This window comes from Homo sapiens, chromosome 12 (assembly GCF_000001405.40).
Source record: "Homo sapiens chromosome 12, GRCh38.p14 Primary Assembly".
NCBI lineage: Eukaryota > Metazoa > Chordata > Mammalia > Primates > Hominidae > Homo > Homo sapiens.
The window spans coordinates 53,846,813-53,870,861 of NC_000012.12; the positions used below are offsets into that span (position 1 = coordinate 53,846,813).

The 24,049-nt window shown below is 41.8% G+C and overlaps 1 long non-coding RNA gene across 7 annotated transcripts in view, besides 3 other annotated features; it reads left to right on the forward strand.

Moving 5' to 3' along the window:
- Positions 1-24,049, forward strand: part of LOC105378250 (uncharacterized) — a 158,791-nt gene that overhangs the window by 107,219 nt on the left and 27,523 nt on the right. For 5 of the 7 annotated variants that reach the window (NR_189098.1, NR_189100.1, NR_189101.1 and 2 more), the window contains 2 exons: positions 2,047-2,144; positions 3,498-3,600. This is a non-coding gene — a long non-coding RNA (uncharacterized LOC105378250). Of the gene's footprint in view, positions 1-2,046; positions 2,145-3,497; positions 3,601-13,971; positions 14,067-24,049 lie in introns of all 7 variants that reach the window. The other 2 variants (NR_189099.1, NR_189097.1) reach the window with 2 other exon arrangements.
- Positions 1,461-2,660: an enhancer, noted in NCBI's record as "BRD4-independent group 4 enhancer chr12:54242057-54243256 (GRCh37/hg19 assembly coordinates)". NCBI's record gives its function as "activates an origin of replication core promoter dependent on BRD2, P300/CBP, MED14 and CDK7 cofactors, and independent of BRD4, by STARR-seq in HCT116 cells {active_cell/tissue: HCT116}" and the evidence as "EXISTENCE:reporter gene assay evidence [ECO:0000049][PMID:35650434]".
- Positions 21,007-21,176: an enhancer, noted in NCBI's record as "experimental_29403 CRE fragment used in MPRA reporter constructs". NCBI's record gives its function as "activates a minimal promoter by MPRAs in K562 erythroleukemia cells, with activity observed for both the introgressed and non-introgressed 12:54261688 variant alleles {active_cell/tissue: K562}" and the evidence as "EXISTENCE:reporter gene assay evidence [ECO:0000049][PMID:34662402]".
- Positions 21,395-22,594: an enhancer, noted in NCBI's record as "MED14-independent group 3 enhancer chr12:54261991-54263190 (GRCh37/hg19 assembly coordinates)". NCBI's record gives its function as "activates an origin of replication core promoter dependent on BRD2, BRD4, P300/CBP and CDK7 cofactors, and independent of MED14, by STARR-seq in HCT116 cells {active_cell/tissue: HCT116}" and the evidence as "EXISTENCE:reporter gene assay evidence [ECO:0000049][PMID:35650434]".

Sequence of the window (24,049 nt, forward strand, 5' to 3'; positions counted from 1 at the left end):
TTGGCAGACACCAGTGTTTCAGTTTGTTGAGGATTTCAAAAATACTGTTTGATTTAGAAAAAAGTCAAATGTATAAATCAAACTATGTAAATCAAAAGAGGTTTGGTGTCACAATTCCTGCCAACTGCCTCCTTTTCTCTCTCTCTCTCCATAATACTGAAACATTGTAGTAATAATAATAACTAACATTTAAAGAGCATTTTACAGTTCCAAAGTGTTGTCATTTATCATCATTCGATGATAAACCTGTGTGCTTGGAATTCTTACCCACATTTTACAGATGAGAAAACTGAGGAACAGAGTGTTTAGTGAGTTCCTCAAGGTTACAAAACTAGTAAGTGACCCAGTTGGCATTTGATCAAAATGTAGTGACTGTTACAAGGAGGCTGAAAGTCTTTTTATTGTCCAACTATGGAAAAAGGAGTTAGGGAGCCCTTTCTGAAGAACTTTTCAGGATGGGGAATACAGAATTTCTAATTCACAGAAGTGTTCCTAACTCACAGAATCAGGATAAGATGACCTTGGCCTGGGGCCCAAAAGATATCAGGTGTAAAATACACAGTAAATCTAACTGTAAGGTCAGATAAATATTAAGAAAAATGAGAAAAAAATGCCATCATTTACATGCAGATAGTATTTAATTGCTGAAGTTTTGAACATTCTAAGCAGTCTTATTTAGAAGTAATCCCCAGAGGCTAATCTGTCCAGGGTCCCATCTCTAGGCCATACTGTTAACACGTGGTTGGATGCCCTGTTCTTTTATTTATTTATTTATTTAATTTTTAAAATTTCCGCTTTTATTTTAGGTTCAGGAGGTGCACGTGAAAGTTTGTTGCATGGGGGAATTGTGTGATGCTGAGGTTTGGGGTAGGAATGATCCCATCACCCAGGTAGTGAGCATAGTACCCAACAGGTAGTTTTTCAACCCTCATCCCCGCCTTCCTTCCTCGTTTAGTATTCCTCAGTGTCTATTGTTTCCATCTTTATGTCCATATGTACTCAGTGTTTAGCTCCCACTTATACGTGAGAACATGTGGTATTTGGTTTTCTTCTGTGTTAATTTGGTTAGGATAATGGCCTCCAGCTGCATCCATGTTGCTGCAAAGGACATAATTTCATTCTTCTTTTTTTTTTTTAAATGGGATGCCCAGTTCTTAAAGATGTCAGGGGAACAAGAGCTCATGTAGTATTTGATTCACCTATTATTAACTTTATCTTAGACCCAATCTAAATATCTTTTGCTGTTATCCCACTAGTTCTGTGTTAGTGGGAGTAGAGTAAAGCTTTCCAATCTCCACCTCTCTCTCTCTCTCTCTCTGCCACTTTTCTGCTTAGAAACTTTTGCTGGTTTCCCACAGCCACCTTATTGGGTGCTTACTATGTGTCAGGCACTGGTGCTTTATATGCACGATCTAATTAGATTGCTACATCAACCCTGTGAGGTAGGGGCTTTTGCTTTCTTCATTTTAACATAAGAAACAAAGAATAGTTAAAAAATTTGTCTGGCATCCCATGACCGGAAAGTGGCAGAGCTGAGAAACTCTGTGTATATTAAAATGTATATTTTATGTCTCTTGATGGCAGGACCTGACATCTCTTGTACCAAACACCAAGCATAGCCCTCCAGTAATGCTCAATAAATGCTTGCTGATGACTATGTTGATGAAGAAAAAAACAGTTCTATGATCAAAATAATCAGGAGGAAGGGGAATTTTAATTTGGACTATCCAATTTGCATAGGAGAACAAACCTCTTGATTCTTACCGACTTTGGTGATGCCATTTCAAGAGCCCCTGCTATGTGCAGAGCTCTCCATTCAGTGGAGGAACCCTCTAGGGCTAAGACCTGATTTCTGTCCTTAGGGAGCTCAAAGGTCAACGGAGGCGACTGCACTCAGATCTAAGACACAGACATTTTTACTGAATTAACATGACCGTTGCAGGTTCTGACACTACCCAAGAAGAGTTTGGAGGCTCTGGTATGCTCTGATGGTAGGAGGAGATGGTACAGGGAGGCCACAAAGACTGATGCTCTTTGGTTCTCCAGTTGTCTTTCAGGAGGTGTAGCCTGGTTGTGGCCTGGGGAGTTTGGCTGTTCTGTGTGGTGTGCCTCCACGGTGTGGTCTCCAGTGAGCTGCTCAGCAGGTAAGGCGGTCCAGAGATGATTTACCCCAGAACAAGGTGAAGAGATGAGAGGACAGGAAGAAGCTCCTCAAGGCCACAGAGCAGCAGAACTGAAACAAGAACCAAACGAATCCACGTAAATGTCTCAGCCTCACAGGGTGCGGGTGGAGAGGAGGTGCCATTTCTGTCAGAATGACCCGGTGCTCCAATCGCTCCCATGTGCCTCCTTTCACTCCCACCACCCGCACTTTGCTTAAGCACCCTGCCCTGAAGCAAGAGCTGAGATGTCAGTTTTTGGGGAAAGTGAGATGCAGAGTTGCCTGACAAATGGGTGGGTCCCCCCAACCCCGCCTAGTTTATGAGCCCAGGGTGGCTCCTCCCTTCTAACACCCTCCCTCTCTTTATGACCCTGCGCAATCTTTGATGTCTTCTTCTTGTGAAGGGTGGTGAGGGAGAAAGAAGACAACCTCAGCCAAAGAGGCCCTGCCCACGATAGTTCTCGGGTGAGGGAAGGGGCTCCAGGGAGTAGGGCAGGGATTTTGCACAAAGAGCGGTAAGTTGGACAAGCTGACACACTGACCATCCCTCCAGATCTGTATCTACTTGGGAAACATCGGCACTACATTTGGTCTCTTTCATGGCAATAGAAAGAACATGCTTAGGCTTTGAGCAAGCCAGGCCTGGGTTCAAATCCTAGAACTTCAACATTCTAGCTTTTTGACCTTGGGCAAATTGCTTAACCCCTTGAGCTTCAGTTTCCTCAACTAAATTAAGTAATACACTATACATTTCATAAGATGTCATGAAAAACTAAGTAAAACATGCTTACATAAAGTGCCAACATCCATCAAGTGTCTTGCATACAAACTTGTCCCTCTAATTAAAAGATACATTTCTTGACAGCAGGGATGTCAATGGCTTGCTGCCCTCCACACCCCTCCACTATTTCCAACACCACAGACCTCTTTGCCTCTCTGTTTTATGTAGAGAGGCATTTTTTACTGAAGCATGTTCTGCTTTCCTTACAAATGCACAAATCCCAGGATTTGTGCCAATCTTTTCTGTCTTCTGCAGGCCCCCATCTCAAAAGCCACAAAAAGAAAAGGTGGCCAGAGAGCTTCTCCTACCCTGGAGAATCCTGTAAGCAACTTTTTCTTCACACTTGGCAGTTTTCCCTCTTCTCTGCCATGCTCCCTTTCTCCTCCATTAAAATGATTTTATTTGCTTTGCTCCTATTCTTATCCATCTATATATTATTTTTTATTTTATAGCTATCCTATAATGGTCTGGGGCTATCCCTCCTGAATCACCAACTAGGCTTACTTTAGGATTTAATTTGGTTTTATTAAAATTACCAAAATTCTCTCTGGGCAGGTGTAGACCCGGGCAGGGCGAAGCTCTCTGGGCTGTTGACTGTGAGGCCCCTCCCCACCGGTAGATTTCCAAGCCTCTTCAGTTTTGCATTCAGCCACAGCAGGTGAGTGTTTCTGGTGCATGTGGACTGTGTGTGCGTGTATGTGTGTGTCCTTACCCTATTTTGTCTTATAAAATCTCATAAAATGGGTTTCCCACTCTCACTACCTTTACTTATCCATGTCTACACTCTTGTTGGGAGCTAATGCTTGCCTACATGATTTTTGCCTTTTCTAAATTCATAAGTAGGAATTTAGAGGAATCCCAGGTAGCCGGTGTAAGTGCATCTGAAACCAGTGAATGCACCACAGGTGTCTGATATGGATATAGGGAGGGGATGTGTGTGGGTGTGTGCATGTGTGTTTGTCTAAATGTAGCTTGAAGTGTAGATGTTTCCCCAAGTGGCTAGACACTACAATCTCAGAACTATAAGAACACAGATTTATACTGCCTAAGGAAAGGCTGTAATGTATCTTAAGAGGTGAAAGAAGCTGCCTACAAGAGGACACAATACCTGCTCTGGGGGGGGGTATAGACACATCCTAATATGTAGATTCTATCAGAGATCATTTTTGGTGTAAACTATAGTAATAGGTTTTAGGCTGCTTTACTCTTTCTTTTCAGAAAAGTAGTGTAGGAAAAGCTTGGCGGGGGAAACAGATTTCCATTTAAATTTTCCAATATATTACTTTTTCCCTTGAATAAAGATATCTTCATTAGGATTCAGAAATTTTTGCTTTAGGGGGGCTGCACCCAGAAGTAGTAGAATAGGAAATAGGAATCAAAGAAAATGAGAATGGTGAAACTGAAAAGAAACCTCCTGAATTGGATTTCTCATATTTATCTTGGTGGTCGATCATTGTCCCCCAAGGCCACCAACCCACACATTGAGAGGTAGAACTCAGGCAAAACTTCTCCCCCAGTTCTGTCTTAGTCTAGTTTTCCTGCCTGAAGAGAGACATTTTCAATTCATCAGAGCTTGTGCCTCCCTCCAACTTAAGATCTAAATGAGTGTTTTCCCACCTCTGTCTATCTACTCACATCCCAAATATCTCCAAAGAAACTGGGGAAGAGCTCTCTAATGGGGAACGTGAACATTCCACTTCTCTATTAGAGAATCCCACAAAATTATGTCAGAGAGCTGCTGGACCAGGAGTCTCTGTTTCTCAGTACCCTGACTTTTGCTCCCTCCCCACTGCTTTGCTTGGCTGGAATCAATTGACATTGAACCTGCCTATTGCATTTAAGAGAAGTGGGAGTACAGAAAGGGTTTTTAAAAAGTTAGCTTCAATCCCAGCACTTTGGGAGGCCGAGGCGGGTGGATCATGAGGTCAGGAGATCGAGACCATCCTGGCTAACAAGGTGAAACCCCGTCTCTACTAAAAATACAAAAAATTAGCCGGGCGCGGTGGCGGGCGCCTGTAGTCCCAGCTACTCGGGAGGCTGAGGCAGGAGAATGGCGTGAACCCGGGAAGCGGAGCTTGCAGTGAGCCGAGACTGCGCCACTGCAGTCCGCAGTCCGGCCTGGGCGACAGAGCGAGACTCCGTCTCAAAAAAAAAAAAAAAAAAGTTAGCTTCATGTTAGGAATAATGCAAGGACTCAAGTGCCTCCCTAAGGATCTAATTTTGAATCTACAGGGTTGAATGAGAAACTAGTCCATTTGAGGCAGCCTAACATGGGGCACTTGAAAATGGACATTTTCTCACGATCTGTCCTTTCCTTTAAAAAAATAATGTAACTTAGAAGAATATGATTATCCTAAAACATTTTATTTTTTAATTAAAGAGGGTTCATTATGCTACCCGTCTCATCTCGTCTCAGAGGAGGAAAACCCTGTGTTCAGCAAGTTTGCTAAGAAATAATTATAGGTTCAGATCTTCCCCAGGCCCCGAAATTCAATTAAAATTTTTTTGTTTTAAGTTGCTAGCAGTCACATGGTATGTATGTGTGTGTGCGTGCGTGCGTGTGTGTGTGTGTGTGCATGTGTATGCCCCAGTTTTCCTTGTAAGTATTCTGGGAATAGGTTCTCAAATGTGACAGTCATCTTCACATTCTCAGCCCAATTTCTTTGGCTGTATCTAGGTGAGCAGATATTAACATGGTGAAAAATCTTCTGCAAAAGGAAGCTCACTTTGATTTTTGTTTGTTGGCTTAATTTTTGGCTAGAATCACCCCAATTGTCTACCAGTCCCCAGTTCCTGGGATACTTCTCTGCCTTATACTGAATTAGGTCAGTATAAAGGTACAGTGGCTCTCAATCTTCACTGTGGATCTGAATCATCTGGGGAACTTTTAAACCATAGAGGTTCCTGGGTCCCACTCCTAGATGTATAGAGTCAACTGGTGCACCATGAGACCCAGACATCCATATTTTTAAAAAGCTCCTTGGGTGATTCTAATATGCAGCCAGGGATGAGAACTACTGAAGAGATGGCAGCTGTGTTTGGATCTCACAAATGATGTGAGATTTGGGTGATTAGTAAAGACACCCAAACAGGATCATGAGGCTCAATTTGACTCTCTGCATTGCTCGGCTCATTGTATAGTTATTTTACGTCATGTAAGCATAGGGGCAGAGCGTTACCTGTTTATCCTGACTGAGTTATATTTAAACCTAGGTGGGAACAGGATTCCATAATTTTCCCCCTACCACCTCTTTCCCCTTTCCAGGAGAGGTGACAGTTCTATTGAAGCTCTATCCCTGTTTACATATAGAAGGACATAAAGATTATTTAGGGAGGACAGTGGACCTTCCATAGGTGACAGGTGCTGTATGGGCAGGCTGGCACACCTAGGACATTCCAGGGCATGGGGATGTATTTATGAGTTCACTTAAGCCATGGCTGACCTCTCCCACAGTTTAAAGAAAATAAATAAAACCACTCCCCAGGCTTCAGGACACAAGCCCTCCTGGCAGCCAGAACTATGGAAAGAGGGTGGATAGGGATGTGTGAGGCCAGATTCTTACCATATAATAAACCAAAATAGACATGTTTAATAGAAATCTAATAAATGAATTAATAAAATAAATAACAAATGTGCCTATGAATCCCCATATATCTCAGCCTATAAACATATAGGTTTATATATATTAGTAGCTTACATATTGTGTATGCAAGTGTGTAGATTTAAATAGATTGCTATATAAATTTATTTATATAATGACAATAGCCTTATGGGGCATGGAAATAATTATGAAGCTATTTCAGGCATATTTTTTGAGAATTGTAGCCATTTTAATATTTTGACTGAAAATTTCATCAATATTCTGATCCTTCCAAGTTATTTAGATTTATTTATTTGTTTATTTATTTATTTATTTGAGACGGAGTCTCGCTCTGTCTCCCAGGCTGGAGTTCAGTGGCGCGATCTTGGCTCACTGCAAGCTCAGCCTCCCGGGTTCACGCCATTCTCCTGCCTCAGCCTCCCAAGTAGCTGGGACTACAGGTGCCCGCCACCACGCCCAGCTAATTTTTTGTGTTTTTAGTAGAGACGGGGTTTCTCTGTGTTAGCCAGGATGGCCTCTATCTCCTGACCTTGTGATCCGCCTGCCTCGGCCTCCCAAAGTGCTGGGATTACAGGCGTGAGCCACCGCACCTGGCGTTATTTAGATTTATAAAGTATGTATACATTTTCTATTTTGTATACAGATGTTCATTGTTATCTATCTTAGCTTTTTCAAAGAGACGGTACCGAATCTGTGTGTAGATAGCCAAAGTGGGCAATTCAGACACAAATAATCTACTCTGGGGCTTAGATAATCTGAGTTTACTAATTATATGAATCTGATTCTAAACTCTTCACTTATTTGGTGCTATATAGACATAGCTTCTGTAATTTGAACCAGATGAATGCACTTCATTTTACTTTGAGGATGCATGTGTGTGAATAGCTAGTAGGACCTTTGGGTCAACTTTTACTTATCTGCACTCTTGGAGGGAGGGAGTAGAAAATTATCCAAGAAATAGCTAAGAAAAATAATTTTAATTTGGCTTTGTAATGAAGTCAGAATCTCAATCTCTCTCTCTCTTTAGCCTCCTCTCACATACAGGTGCCAAATAAGTGAATACACACACACACATGCACACGCGCGCACACACACACACACACTCGGTCTTTTGTCAAACAGACCCTAATATCTTTCTGGGCTTGAATGACTGCATCTTGATGGCCCATGAAGGGGAGGAAGTGAACCTAAGTGATCTCCAGAGACAACGATAGACTAGCACACAGTATCCATATATGTCGATATGTGCTAACATATGTAGAGATATGCTTTTGTCCCCAAAGGCCTTAAGAAATTGTCTACAAACCACTATAAAATCCTTATCTGATTTCTATGCCATTTCTGCTTATCTGGTAACATAGTTTGATTTTGCATTCAAAACGGAACAGATATTGGAATTGTGTCTCCCCAGACCACCTCCCAGAGCTGGGGCTCAGGGTCACACAGTGAACAGTGGAGGGTGGGAAGGAAGCCATCCACTACCATCTTCCTGTCCCCTGTGGGTAGTTGGAGCTCAGCCAATTACAGAGGCTCCCGAGACACTGTTTAACAGGTCCATTTATGGTGATATTTTATGAAAAAGAATATAGATGAGTTTTAATAAGACTTCTCTCTCTGAGCTGGCTCTGCAACAACTTAGCTTTAAATATGCATCTCATTCTCCTAACTGCTTCTCTTCACTTGTCGGCAAGACCAAAATGAGGCATATGGGGAGACAAAAACAAACCTGGTCTTGGAAAAAGACAACTCTGTCCAAAGCCAAGACTGGCTACCCATGCATGAACTAAAAAGGGAATTTTCTGGATTACTCAGTCTTAGATATCCCATTTCATTAAATATGTACAACATGAAATCAACTTTGTTGTTTTCTTGAATCCAAATCTCCCCTTTGGCAGGGCTGTGTAGGAAAAGGGAGTAGAACTGCTCTGTGAATTTCATAGAATTGCTGTTTCACCCACACTACTGGTGATCCACTAGTTACAGTGTGGACATATCAGCTTTCCAGTTTTCACCTGGGAGATATACGGTCACATATTATGTGGGTTTGTGCCAGCAGAATGAAGTGGGATGAGGAGGATTGGACCGGCTCCTCATTTATTCATTCAATGAAGGTTTATTGAACCATCTACGATGTACCAGGTGCTGTGCTAGGTTCTGGGATGGCAAAGAACAAGATCTTTGCCTACAATGTACTCACTGAATTAGCAGAAGAAATCAACATATCAACAGATAATTATAATATAGTGTTTTAAGTGTACTGATAGAAATAACGCACAAGGTATTATGAATGCACAAGCTATTATGAACACACAAAGGAGCAGAATCTAATCCACTCTTTGGGGTGGGGGCTGCACAGAGAGTGTCCTCTCCAGAAGCAGATGGCAAGCACTGGAACTTTATTTTATTCACCTTTGTATCTCCTAGTCCTAACGATCATGCCATGTTTGTTCCATGAATTGACCAAGGATTTAAGTCTCTTTAAATGCAGTGGCAAAAGCACTGTAATAGGAGTCAGGAGGTCTGGATTCTGGTCTAGGCTCTGCTATTGCAGTTTGTGGCTGGGCCATGTCACTGCTTGTCAAGATGAAATTAGAGGAAGATCCTGGACCAATACTAGGCCACCACTTCCCTATTTAAATAAAATATACTGCCCCTCCTTCCAGTATGTCTATAATGTATAAGAAATAAAATCAAAGTTTTCTTTCTATAATCCATTCATAAAGTAGTTGTCAGCTCTCCATAACCTTGCCCTTTTCTAGTTTTCTGTGACACTTTTAAAAGTTAGGGCAGGTTGACTAGTACTAAGGAAGCTGGAACCTGGGAGAAAGTGAGATCATATTAAAAAGCCTGTTTGGCTTATTTCTGCCAGTGCTGAAAAACAGTTTAAACCCAGCCCGCACTTAGGGCAGTGGGGCAGCAGAGCATGGGGACCGCATTGTGTCCTCCATAGAACTACTGTTTGCTTCTCTGCTTGAGCCCAGCAGAGAGCGAGGCGGGTAGCCAAAGCGTGCTGACCTGGTTGCAACAGGAGGGCTTGCATCCCTTGTAATCATGCTTCCTCTTCCTTTTTCTTGAAGGAAGGGAAATAAAACCCAAATGTTGTACATCTAATCAAACAACTCAGTGTTAAAGCTGGAGGGCCTGATCCTTCTCATAGTATCCTTTGCTTTTTGCCTCCAGAACACTAAAACTCTTGTTTACCTCCATCTTCTTTTCTGTAATATGGGGGCTGCGCAGAGGGTGGCCTCTCGAGAAGCAGATGGCAAGCAATAGAACTTTATTTTATTCACAATTCCTGCCCTACTATTTAATGTGTGTTTCTTTTATAGTACTTACCAAAATTTATAATTTATGTTTGATTAATATGTCTTTCTAACTAGATGGTAAGATTCATGAATGCAGGGATTGTATTTGTTTTCTTCTCCATTTAATTCCCAGCATCTAGTATGGTGTTTCCAGATAGTAGTCACTCAATAAATACTTTATTTTTTATATTTTTAGACATAGGATCATGCTCTGTCACCCAGGCTAGAGTGCAGTTGCATGATCATAGCTCACCATAACCTCAAACTCCTGGGCATAAGTGATGCTCTCGCCTCAGCCTCCAATGTAGCTGGGACTACAGGGGTACACCACCATGCTGGGCTAATTTTTTATTTTTTATAGAGATGGGAGGTGTCTCACCATGTTTCCCAGGCTGGTCTTAAACTCCTGGCCTCAAGCGATTCTCCTGCCTCGGCCTCCAAAAGTGCTGGGATTAGAGCTCCAGCCTGTGCTCACAGCCCCAGCCTGTGCTCAGCCTCATAAATACTTTTGAGTCACTGTGCCCAGCCTCATACATACTTTTGAGTAAATGGATGAATGGTGTTGTCAAAGTCAAATATTATGAAGTATTTGAAATCACTTCAAAAAATTATAAAGGAGAAACATGTAAAGCATTGTTTCTTCTCAACTAGATTGTAAGTTTCTTCATTTTAGGAACTGAGTCTTATACTCTTTATTTCCCATCAATCTAGCATTTCCACCTAGTAGGTACTCTGTAAATAATTATGCGTATCACTACAGTGTTTAAAAGAACATGATAATACTTGCAACAAACAACCTGAAAATGAATTTAAGAAAAAAAATCCCATTTATAATACCATCAAAAATAATAAAATCCTTAGAGATGAATTTAACAAAGAAGCACAAAACTTATACTCTGAAAAGTACAAAACACTGTTGAAAGAAGTTAGAGAAGACCTAAATAAATGTAAAAACATCCCATGTTCTTGGCAATATTTTCCAAGTTGATCAAAAGATTAAACACAATCACTGTCAAATCCCAACTGGCTTCTTTGCAGAAATTGACAAACAGATCCCAGGATTTATATAGAAATCCAAGGGACCCAAAATACCCAAAACAATCTTGAAAAAGAGGAGCAAGATTGAAGAACTCACATTCCTTATTTTAAAACTTACTACAAAGCTACTGTAATCAAGACAGCATGGTAGTGGCATAAGGATAGACATATGGCTATCCAGTGGAATAGAGTTAAAAGTCCAAGAATAAACTCTCACATTTTCAGTCGGTTGCTTTTTGACATAAGTGCCAAGACAATTCAGTGGGGAAAAATAGTCTTTTCAAGTAGTGCTAGGACAACCGCATAGCCACATGCAAAAGAATTAAATTGGATTTCTATTTCACACTACATACAAAAATTAACTCAAAATGAGTCAAAGACCTAAATCCAAGAGTTAATTAAAACTATAAAACTCTTAGAAGGAAACATAGGTGTAAGTCTTTGTGACCTTGGATAATGCAATGATTCCTTAGATAAAGGCACAATTTAAAAAATAGATCGAGTGGACCTCATCAAAATTAAAAACTTTTGCTTCAAATCACACCATTGAGGAAGTGAGAAGACAACTCACAGAGTGGAAGAAAATGTTTGCAATTCATATATCTGATAAGAGACTTGTATCTAGAATATATAAAAAACTCTAACTCAAAAGGATAAAGACAAGTAGCCCAATTTAAAAATGGACTAAGGGGCCGGGCGCGGTGGCTCACGTCTGTAATCCCAGCACTTCGGGGTCCAAGGAGGGCAGATCACGAGGTCAGGAGATCGAGATCATCCTGGCTAACACGGTGAAACTCCGTCTCTACTAAAAATTAGCTGGGCGCGGTGGCGGGCGCCTGTAGTCCCAGCTACTTGGGAGGCTGAGGCAAGAGAATGGCATAAACCCAGGCGGCGGAGCTTGCAGTGAGCCGATATCTCGCCACTGCACTCCAGCCTGGGTGACAGAGCGAGACTCCATCTTAGAAAAAAAAAAAAAAAGATCTGAATAGAAATTTCTTCAAAGAAGATATACAAATGGCCAGTAAGCACATTAAAATGTTTCCTACATATTCCTAACATTATTAGCTATCAAGAAAATACAAATCAAAACGACTATGTGATACCACTAGGATGGTTACAACAATAATAAATACAAGGTAATAATAAGTGTTGGTGAGGATGTGGAAAAATTGGAATCCTCATACATTGCTGGTGGGAATATAAAATGATGCGGCCACCTTGGAAAACAGCATTTCCTCAAAATGTTAAACCTAGAGTTACCACATGACCCAGTAGTTCCACTTCTAGGTATATACCTAAGAGAAATGAAAACATGTATCTACATAAAAACTTGTATATGAATGTTCATGGCAGCATTGTTCATAGTAGCAGAAAACCCAAATGTCCATCAATTGATAATGGATAAATAAAATGTGGGACATCCATATAATGGAATATTATTTGGCAATAAAAAAGTAATGAAATATTGATATATGCTATGACATGGAAGAACCTTGAAAACATTATGCCAACTGAAAGTAGCTGGTCATAAAAGAATACATATTGTATAATTTCATTTATATGAATTATTCAGTGTATAGGTATACTCTATATTTGGAGTAGAGGTATTCAGGGTACAGGTAAAGGTATAGGTACATGCTATAGTCAGGGTATAAGTTCAGGGTATAGGTAAAGCTATAGAGACAGTAGATTAGTGGTTGCCTAAAGCTAGGGATATTGTGGGGAATAGGGAGTGACTGCTAATAGATACAGGTTTTCTCTTTGGGGTGTGGAAATATATATACATATACATATATATGTACACATATACATATATATACACACATATACATATATACACACATATACATATATATATACATATACATATATATATATATATATACACACATATACATAATATATATATTTTTGAGATGGAGTCTAGTTCTGTTGCCCAGGCTGGAGTGTAGTGGCATGATCTCAGCTCACTGCAACTTCCGCCTCCCGGGTTCAAGTGATTCTCCTGACTCAGCCTTCCAAGTAGCTGGGATTACAGGAGCCTGCTACCACGCCCAGCTAATTTTTGTATTTTTAGTAGAGATGGGGTTTCACCATGTTGGTCAGGCTGGTCGGTCTCGAACTCCTGACCTCATAATCTGCCTGCCTTGGCCTCCCAAAGCGCTGGGATTACAGGTGTGAGCCACTGCAACCAGCCTATTTCTTCATTTTTCTATCAGCTCAGTGCTTTGGAGCATAGAATGAAAGTTGTAGGCAGATTATTCTTTTCTTTTCTTTTTTTGAGATGGGGTCTCACTCTGTGGCCCAGGTTGGAGTGCAGTGGCACGATCTCAGCTCACTGCAACCTCTGCCTTCTGGGTTCAAGCGATTCTCCTGCTTCAGCCTCCCTGAGTACCTGGGATTACAGGCGTGTGCCATCATGCCCAGCTAATTTTTGTATTTTTAGTAGAGACTGGGTTTTGCCATGTTGCCCAGGCTGGTCTCAAACTTCTGAGCTCAAGTGATCTGCCCGCTTCAGCTTCCCAAAGTGCTGGGATTTCAGGTGTGAGCCCGTGTGCCCGGCCAGTAGGGTGGATCTTAAAGGAGAAACAAGAGGTGGAACAAGGACGAAAGGGAATTCAATTTGCTGAGTTTTTTGGGGAAAGCTGAGAAGCGTGTTCACTTTCCTAGCCAATGTAATTAGGTAAGTTTAATGTCAAGACTCCAAATGTGACTGTTTTTTATTGAGATTTCTAGTTTTGGTTGTGGTGTTTGAAACTTAATTGACCCAGCCACCTTCTTTGGGTCCAGAGACACTTAAAATGTGAAACATTGACCTTTTGTCCTTAGTGTCCTTCATCTTTCTGAAGATCTGGATAATTGGTGGGTGTGGAAGAAAGCCAGGGAGAACCTTGTGTCTGTCTTGAGAATGAAAGGGTGACAGGAAACCAGGGAGTGACTCAGGGAGACTGGAGTCTAGAAACACAATGCTCTGAAGACTTCCCTGGGTATATAATGGGAAGGAACTTGGAGGTCTTGATGACTGCTTGGACTCCTACTTTGCTGCAGTTTCTATTCTAATCTCTATTTTTGTCCTTTCTCCAGGATCCAAACTTCAGTGACCTGAGTACCTGTCACACCTATTTGTTCTGAATAGCCCCTTTGAACAGAGCCTTTCTTGACAGAGAAAAGGAGTATTGGTAGGTGTGGGAGGCAGGGAGATCTAGCAAAAAAGAAAAAAAAAGAATTATTAATAGCTGTAGTCATTGGGAAACTCAGCCTGATGGGGAAAACAATAATCAGATTTAAGAACTAAGAATCAACAAATATAAAGACTTTCTTCATTAGAACAAAAGCTTCCTTGATAAAAAAAAAAAACGTTGAGCTAGATTTTAAAGGACCTTTAGAATGCATATTGTGGCAAAGGAGAAGAAACTCCACCCAAGGCAGCCAGCATAAGCATGGTGGAGGAAGCATTTTCTCCCATAATGTTGGGCCTCAGCCACAGGAATAAGCGCTGCCCAGAGCTAGTTAGCTGTGACCCTGTTCCTGCATATCCTGAGTGATTTGATGTGACTAGCTGAAGTCCAGTTAAGGGTCAATTGAGGGAGCAAGTGAGGGGATACTATGAAGTAACAGTTTGGCTTGGGTCTTGACTGGAGAATTCAGTGCGTTTGAGGTTGCCTCTAAGAGGAGTAGAAATAAGAGCATTAGGAGCCCTTGCTGCCGTTTGGGTTACCTACACCAAAACAGATTTGTGTTCTGCTCTCTGGCCAGCCCTATTCTCTGCTCTTCTTATCCCAACTTGCCTAATTGATACCTTGGCCGATGGTGTCATTAACAATGCTTGAATAATAGCCTGACTGGCTGATTTCAAAATGAGAGACATGATTAATATGTCGGAAATCCAGCTGGGGGGAGCAGGAAAGGGGATGTCCCAAGAAAAAGAAAATGGGGGAGGGGTCCTTCACTCCCTTACTGCCAGTCCACTGTCTTCAGCAGAAGGGAAGAACTTGGGGATAGGAGTCTGACTTCAGCTCCTTCTTGGTTTGCTGATCCCTCTCCATTTCTCTCCCCTACCTCCCCCAACAGCACACGTTCTGACACCTACAAGCTCGTTACATGATGATGACCTATATTTTTATCTTTTTTATGAGCATCAAACACACATTGTCTTGCAAGCACATGTGTTTTTTTCCCCTGTTGACGTGTGAGTGCCTTTGATGGTAATTTATTGTAGGGTTGAACAGCCAGGTCTTAATTGTACCCTGAAATTGCTTACCATTTTGATGCCTCCAAACCATCCCAAAATGTACCTTTTTCCTACAGAAGGGTATGGGGCAATCTCTTTTTTACTGTGTTATATGGTGGAATGTGAAGCTTAGAGAGAACATGAGGGAAAGATTCCCTAGCTGGGTTTCAGGGACGCCTTGGTCCCCAGCTTCTAATTGCAGTTGGGCTGTCTGAAAGTTCTGCTCTACTCAACAAAATTTAGACTCAGTTTTTCCCTCATGGTATAGGGTCAACATGACTTCACTGGTTGCTTAGAATGGTCAACGGGCAGTTTCTACTCCAGCATTCAGACTTTTGGGGAAATTTCCATTGTGGCCACTTGTATCTGTGACTGTAGACGGGATTAGAAATGAGAATGTGGGCATTAACCTAGGGAGCCTGGGCTATGAGAGGCAGCATATCAGGCCTTCTGCAGTATCCTGTAATAACCTCTACCTCCACATCTGACCACTTCCTCCCTTGGCTTAGGTAGAATTCAACATTCCTGTGTGCAGGGGAATATAGGAATACCAGAGAACACAAAAGCCCAACAGAACTTAGTGGTTTGGTTTTGTTTGGTTTTTGAGACAGGGTCTCACTCTGTCACCCAGGGCAGAGTGCAGTGGTGCAGTCTCAGCTCACTGAAGTCTCGCCCTCCCGGGCTCAAGCGATCTTCCCACCTCAGCCTCCTGAGTAGCTGGGACTATAGGCGTGTGCCGCCATACCTGGCTAATTGTTTTTTTGGCGGAGACAGAGTCTCACTATGTTGCCCAGGCTGGTCTTGAATTCCTGGGTTCAAGCAATCCTCCCACCTCGGCCTCTCAAGGTGCTGGGATTACAGTTGTGAGCCACCACACCTGGCCAGAGCTTAGTTTTTAATTATAATTTGAGTTTGGGCCTAATAGTCTCCTTTGCTGTGGCCTCACTTTGTCCCTCAGTACAATAGACAGCATCATACCCTAGGACACTCACATTCATTACAGAAGGATGAGTCAGTGTTCCAGAACAACTAGAAATGTAACCCATGTCTCATGAAAATATAAGGAGAAAAGAAAGACTGAAATTCCTATCATTCCCTCTGGAGAGGCCAGGGGTAGTATCCAATGTTAACCCAGGCTGCTGTGCTGGAAACCGGTCTACCTGCAGACTGGATCCGTGTTAGTTCTTGCTACAGACTCTCCATTCCAGCTGAGTTCATTCTTCTGTCTCTCACACATGATGCTCATTGCATGTGCTTGTTCATACTTGCCTCCAAACATGTATACAGGCCAGTTTCCTCCTCTCCTACTCCAGGTACTGTTTCTCCATCCTCCCTGTCCAACTTTGTCCATTTTCTTTGTAGATACCCAGTCCTACCTGAGCTCACTTCCACCAGAAAACTTTCTTAATTGGCCTTCCCTGGCTCCAAGGACTGTACTATTCTATAGTTCCTCAACATTGTATTATTTGCACTTATTTCTGTGATCTACTGTCTGCCTGTGTCCATGGAGGGATGTTGTGTATCTGTCTCAATGAGCCTCCTGACTGAGAGCAGAGCTATTACTACTGTCACCTTCTTCAGTGGATTAAAATCTCTTCTGTTAAAGGCCTCTCTCTTCTGAGAGACTTTACACTCTTCCTTGGTGTCCGTGGCAGTGGAGTTGTATAGGAGCAAATGAGCTTGAGAAAGACAGCAGCTTCCATGATGGAGTCCATGTGAAATCTCATTTTCCTATAATAACTAGGACATTATTGATTCTCAAACTTCAGAAAATGAGTTGGTTATCTGGAAATTTCAAAGAAATATGGTGCATCTCTTAATTACCTGGTTTTCCAATATACAGATAATAAAATTAGAATTCTGTTGCTTGATCTTCAGAGCCCTCCACGGCGACAATAATATTGGGATCAACATTCTTTTACATAACCTAGACTGCAATCTCATGGGTCTACTTGAGTTTCTTCAACTTGTTCTATGCCTCCAGACCTTTGCATGTGCTATTCTTTCTGTCTGGAATGCCATCCTTTCCTCATCAACTTGCCAAGATCTGATCCTTCATTTAAAGCCTAGCTTAAAATCTTCTCCAAGATTACGTCCCAGATCGCTCTAGCGAGAATTATTTCTGACCCTCCTGCAACTATAGTGTCACATTGTTTGAGTCTCTATTATACTACTAGAATAATATTTACATATGTATTTATCTCTTTTACTATTTTGTAGGTTATGAGAAGGTGGAAATTGTATATATTTTTTTCTCTTCTTTTTTTCCTCCTTATTCTCTGCCATCTTGTATCAATTTGAAACTAACTCCCCCAAGATTGTTTATGTTTTAACTGTATATCCCTTTATATTCCTGGGCTTAACATAATGCCTTGCATAGGAGATGCTCAAGAAATATAAATTAATTTGGATAATAGAGCCAGGTTTTTTTTTCTTGTTTTCAACTTTTATTTTAGATTTCAGGGCTACACATGCAGGTTTGTTACAAAGGTATATTATGTGATGCTGTGGTTTGGAGTACAATTGAACCCTTCACCCAGGAAGTGAGCATAATACCCAGTAGGGAGTTTTTCAGTTCTTAACCCCCTCCCACCTGTAAAGAGAGTTTACACTCTTCCTTGTTCTCCCATTTTTATGTCCATGGCAGCAGAGTTGTATAGCTTTATCAAGCTCATCTTCATTCCTCAGTACTCCCATCAACTACTCACTCTCCCACCATTTCAGTTCTCCTGACTTTCAACAAAGCCTTTTCATGCTAAGATAAACCTTCCATAGTTACCCTGTGTCATTTCTGATGGTCTGCACGGCTGTTCTGTTCTGTCCTATTCTTGTGTGCTCAATCCTGTAGCTTCGTTCTTGCCAAGCTCTGGTCTATTATCTCCTCTTCCTCCTCTGGAAAGTCTACTTTAACTAGCTTCCATAAATGTCCTTACCCCTCATTCTCCCAGCATTGATAGCGAAGATGGTACTCCAGCATTAATTCTCTGTTTATCTGTATCTTGTTTTCCATTGTATGGGAAACTTCCCCATACTGATATTCCTTTTCCTGTTAACCAGAGTTCATATTCATCCCCATAGCTTCCAGTTCCTCTAGTCAGAGAAATCATTGACTGGCTTTCTCTTGCTTGGAAAGTCAACCAACTTTAGCAAGTGACAATAAAGAGAGATTTAGAACCTACTGACCCTCTCAATCCCTTCCTTGCCCTCTCAGGCCCCCCTTTCAACCTTTCCTTCCTTCCACAAATGCTGGCTGAGCCTGCGTTATGTGCTAGGCGCTGCTATAGGTTACCATGCTTCTCCCCTGTATAAAGCTTATACTCGATGCTCCTTCTGAATGGGAGTTTAGATATTGGTCTGATACTAGAAACACTTAATCAAATGCTCCCAAACAATGTCATAAGTGTGAATTCTGATGGAGTACAGAATTAGGATATCTCTTCTCTGTAAGCCATTCTCTCCATTCTTGAAATTGCTATTCATCTTTGGCCCATCTCTCAGAACTTGATACAGAATAGTTTTTGTGTCTCATTCTGTGATGAGCAGTTAGTCCATCTCAAAAATAATTTTAGCGTTTACTGAAGAACCCCAAGGAGAGGAGTGGGGAAACTAGATAGTCTAATCTCCCACTGTCCCATAGAAACACATACATGTGAACTCACCTGCAGGCTTATGTAATTACATGTTGTTGAAACTAAATGGCTAAGTTAAACTGGAGTAAAGAAGTAATCTCAATTAGTTGCAGTTATAAGGGAAGACTCTGCAAGAAAAGGATTTGAGCTGGGTTTTGATGGGAGATTGTGGGAAGCAGTCTGTGAAGACAACACTCTAGGTGATGAGAGACATTCATTGTTCAGTCTGAGGCTTAAATGTGAGAAGAGTCAGGCTATGGGGGTTAGTGAAAGTGTTATCTTGGCTGAAGCATAGCTCTAAGTTGGAAAATTCCAAAGAAATGGGTTTAGTGAGAAATTAGGATGAAATTGCTAGAGGACCTAAATGACCAACCTAGGATGTGTCTTCCTAGCTGAAGGCAGGGCCATAAATAGAATAATTTCAGGAGGGCTAAAATGTTTATTCTTCCCCTTAGCTTTTGAGAACAAGAGACTAAGGTTTCTGGGACTCTGACTTTATATGACTAAGGTGCTCCTCTCACATGAAGTAAAGCATAAAGACCAAGTATAATGTAAACCTAATGTCTAGATTTTTCTATAATATTGTTTAAATTTCAGTTGTAATTATCTGTCCAAATGGACTCCACACTTTGTTTTGCCTCGTTCTATTCTGGAATCATATGATGGCCTGCAGAATTTAACTTAACCAGCCACATGCTCCTTGCCTCATTCAGCCTACCCATTTTTTCTGTATGAAAAGGTTTCACAGTAAAGCAAAGAAACTTTTACACCTGGCATCTATCCCTTGACCTTTAACTTTCTGGAGTCACCTTACTTGAAGGAAGGAAATACCACCTAGAAACTGCCCCTGGATTTTTCCCAGCCTGTTGCACAGAGGTCTTCCAAACCTGGGTTATGCTAACTGATGGCAGAGGAGAAGAGTCCCAGCCCTAGCTTCCCAAATTTTTGTGATATTTTCACCTTGAACCTCTGCTGGAATTTTCTCTGAAGCAGAAAGAAGAGGTGGTCACTTTTCAAATTGTTTATGCTTTTATACTTTTCAGATTATGAGGGGGAAATATTATAATGTGTCTACCTCTTCCCCTTGGCATATTTAGATTTAAAAGACAAAATATCAAGAAAGGAATTAATTTTGTAGAGAAATAATAAATAGAATTAGCAAAGAAGAACTTTCCAACAGCATGGTTTACTGAAGGAAACTGGGCAGTCCCTCTATCTGAGGATCTAGAAGAATAGGGTCAATTAGCATTTGTCTGCAGATTTTGAAGGCAGTGAAATGAATGAGAAGACTCTCCAAAGCTCTGTCTGCAGGCCAGACTCAGTGATATCAGAACGGGACATAGAGAGAGGAAGCAAGGGTGACTCAAACCCATCTTTTAAGGCCTCTCTTCCCTATGGTTGCGTGCACCTCTGGTTTCTAAAAAAATTTTTTTTTGCCTCGTTTGCTTCAGAGATGGGTGGCTTTGAGGAAGTGAAGATAAAATTTATTCAACCTAGATGTGTAAATAGAATTTTGTGACCAATTTTGATATGACTTTTATATCTAGACTTATAGCCAGGGGTGAATTTTCATACTGGCATAGGGTCAACTCCTTATTCCTGATTTGTGCACTATCCACTTTGTGGATTTTTGCAGACTCCATACTTCCACTGCCTTGGGTTTGACAGAAACACTGAGTCAGAGCAAGCATCAGGGATAGACTCAAAGGGTGTGTTTGTATGTATGTGTATGAGTGTAGGTATCCAAAGATAAAGCAATGAGGATTTATTTCACTTCTCTTTTCTCTTTGTAACACTAATTACATTTGTGAAACTGTTTAATGGTGGCCTCTACTACTAGACAGTAAGCTACATACAAGGCTTGTGCACCATTGAATACTTAGCACTTAGCATAGGACTTGGCACATGGCAGACACTCAGCAAATGACAAAATCATGTGGCCTCTGCTCTCATCCACTGACTCAGATAATGAGAAGTGTCTCCTCCTCAGGGGCCAGGGGGATGCTCTGCTATGGCAAGTGGAGGAATCAGAGATGATCCATGGAGCCTGTGATATGACCTCCCCAGTGAGGCTGTCAGCCCTAGGGTAGATTCCTTGTTGACTATCCTCTTCTTATCACTGGTAGCATCTTATCACAATACTTGGGGCACGGGCCAGGGAGTTACCCAGGGCTGAGGATGGGAGGAGGTAAGTCCTGGCTATCAGGATAGACATCTTATTCCAGCAGCAGTTGTCCTAGATGTGGCCTGTTTCCCAGCCCACTGACCTTTAGGGCACAGTGGGGGGTTGGGAGCATGAGTCAGAGAGGAATGTGGGACTGGTTGCTTGGGAGTTTCACTCTCTGGGGAGAAGCTGGTTCCCCATGCCTATCAGTTTTCTAATGGCATCTCTAGAGGCAGAGCCTAGAAACAATTACTTGAAGGAGTCGGACGAAGCACCCACACTCTTTTGAACCCCTAGGATGTTGGCAGGAAGATAATTTAAATAGATTTTAACAGGCACAGGACAGAAAAGTATTGTAGAGTATTTCAATAGAAATCTGAGGCTGGGTACAATGGCTCATGCATGTAATCCCAGCACTTTGGGAGGCCAAAGCGGGAGGATCACTTTAGCCCAGGAGTTCAAGACCAGCCAGAGCAGTATAGTAGGACCCCGTATCTACTAAAAACAAAAAGCCAGATGTGGGAGCACGTGCCTGTAGTCCCAGCTATTCAGGAGACTGAGGTGAGAGGATTGCTTGAGCCCAGGACGTTGAAGCTGCAGTGAGCCCTGTTCATGCCTCTGCACTCCAGCCTGGGTGACAGAGCGAGACCCTGTCTCAACAAAACAAAACAAAACACACGCACACACACACGCTCAAAAAAAAAGAAAAAAAAGAAAAAGAAAGGAAAATTTAAGATATCCTCTTATCCATACTTCTGCCTCCATCCCAGATAAATACAAAATCTCTCTTTGAAGATTTTCTAAAGTGAGGGGATTCCACTGTTAGGTAACCATGGTAACCACTACACCACAGCACACTTATGAGAACATTCTACTGTTAAATCTAGCTGAATGTAGCCTGCAACATGGAAGCCATGACCAGGACAGTGGAAGTGCAGTGTGAATTATCCAAGCAATCATTTCCTCATTCCTTGGGTGGGAGTGGGCAGACACGCCCAGGAGTCCCTCACCCTGCCTCCCACGATGCTCTGCTTCTTCATACAGTGCACACAGTGGTGGGAGATGGCAGCAGGGGCAGAGAGGCCCTCATTCTGGAGAGGGGACCTATGAATCTTGTAAATATGATGACATCAGCAATGACAGACTCTTCAGCCGCCTGGTAGTCTGTCATTGAAGCCAGGAATTCAGCACACGCTCAGACACACCCAGCCTTCACCATGGGTTCCCAGAAGCAAGTTCTCGCATAGCCACTAGGCTGGGAGGACCCTCACTTAACCAACCCTCCCTGACAAGCTCCAAGGCCTCAGAGTCGAATCCTAAATTTCCAACTTAGCAATAATTTTTTTTAAATTGCATGATGCTGAGGCTTGGGGTATGGATGATCCCGTCACCCAGGTAATGAGCATAGTACCCAGTAGATAGTTTTTCATTCCTTGCCCCTCTCCCTCCTTCCCCTCTCCAGTAGTCCCCAGTGTCTGTTGTTGCCATCTTTATGTCCATGTGCGCTCAATGTTTAGCTCTCACTTATAAGTGAAAAGATGCGGTATTTCGTTTTCTATTCCTGTGTTAGTTCACTTAGGATAATGGCCTCCAGCTACATCCATGTTGCTGCAAAGGACGTGATTTCATTCTTTTTTATGGCTGCATCCAACTTAGCAATAATTTTTATCCCTCTCTGTTTTCATTCTCAACAGTGCCTAAGTTGTTCATGCTGGTTGTTCTCAGGTGTTTTAACCTCCCCAGTGAGTGAGATCCAAGATTCATGGCATTATCATGGGAAATTCTTTCATTTTGGTTTAACTGAAATTTGTTTTTGTTATTATCATCAGAGTCTAAAACTGATCAAGCCAGAAAACTTCTACACTGCTCTGAAGTCCCAGACAAATAGGCTGGAGATTTTTCCTGCTGTTCTCCACCTCTCTCCATAATGAGATGCTTTGTTTCCATGAATTGGCCCTGATCCAGACTTCTAGACTCTATGACAGGACATTTCATCCCTCCCTCTGCCTCCAGGCAGGACTGAACTTAACTCATGCCAGGCTGAAGGGTGTCTCCTTCAGACCTTGTTTCAAGATTTCCTGACTCTTTGGCCTCTTTCAGGTAAAAGCGCACAGCTGATTGCCCCAATGCCTAATCTTAATTTCCTAATGGCAATTCTAGCTCATTTCTTTTCATTGTGGAAAGGAAGATCCACATCTCCCTTATACCTTTCCAGCTAAAATTATCTCAGTTCTTTTATAATGCTTCTCAGATATTAATTTGATCCCATATCTTCTTTGTGCTAGAGGAGGAAAATTAGTGTTAGATGAAATGCGCTCCATTATCTGAGTATTGTTGGCCTGAGCTAGTATTCCATATTTTTATCACTTTTGTTATTGTGCTCCTCACCAACATATCTCATTCTTTCTTTGCATGGAGACTTCAAATATCAGTTTTATCTACCTGGAATGCCTTTCCCTCTCTCATCAGTCTTGACCTTCCATTACTTCCAAATCCTGTTCCATTCTCCCTCTCTAGACGACGTTTCCTAACTCTGCATTTTCTGTGTATTCCTGATTCTTCTGAATCCTACTAGTGGCAATGTAAAGAACTTCATTCAGCTGGCCTTAAGATCTGCCCTTGCCTCACTCTCTCCGAGTATGAAGCATGGATAAGAAGAGTTCTGAGAGCTTGCAGGGAACCAGTAGCACAGCGTAGTGGGATGTATATAGCAAGTCAAGAACTTGGGAGTTCTAGTGTGGGTCTATAACCCTGTGCACCTCATAACCTCTCTGGCCTTTCCACTTAATTATGTATGGACAAGGAAGCATTGAATTAGGCCATCTCGAAGAATTCTTTAACTTTATAAATGTTGTGAATTTGTGCTTTCCTCTCTTTCTTGGTCTCTTTCAATATCATGGACAGAACTCTACAAGCAGAGAAATCACAGAATAGGAGAATATGAACTAAAAGGCATAGTCGATAGGGAAAAACTTCATTTTAATATGGAGGTAGTGCTGGTCATAATAATTGGAAATTTGTAGTGAGAATGGGGGCAGGCTGCTGCACCTCCTTAACCTCTTGCAATCTTTTTTTTTTTTTTTTTTTTTTAGACGGAGTCTCGCTCTGTCACCCAGGCTAGAGTGCAGTGGTGCGATC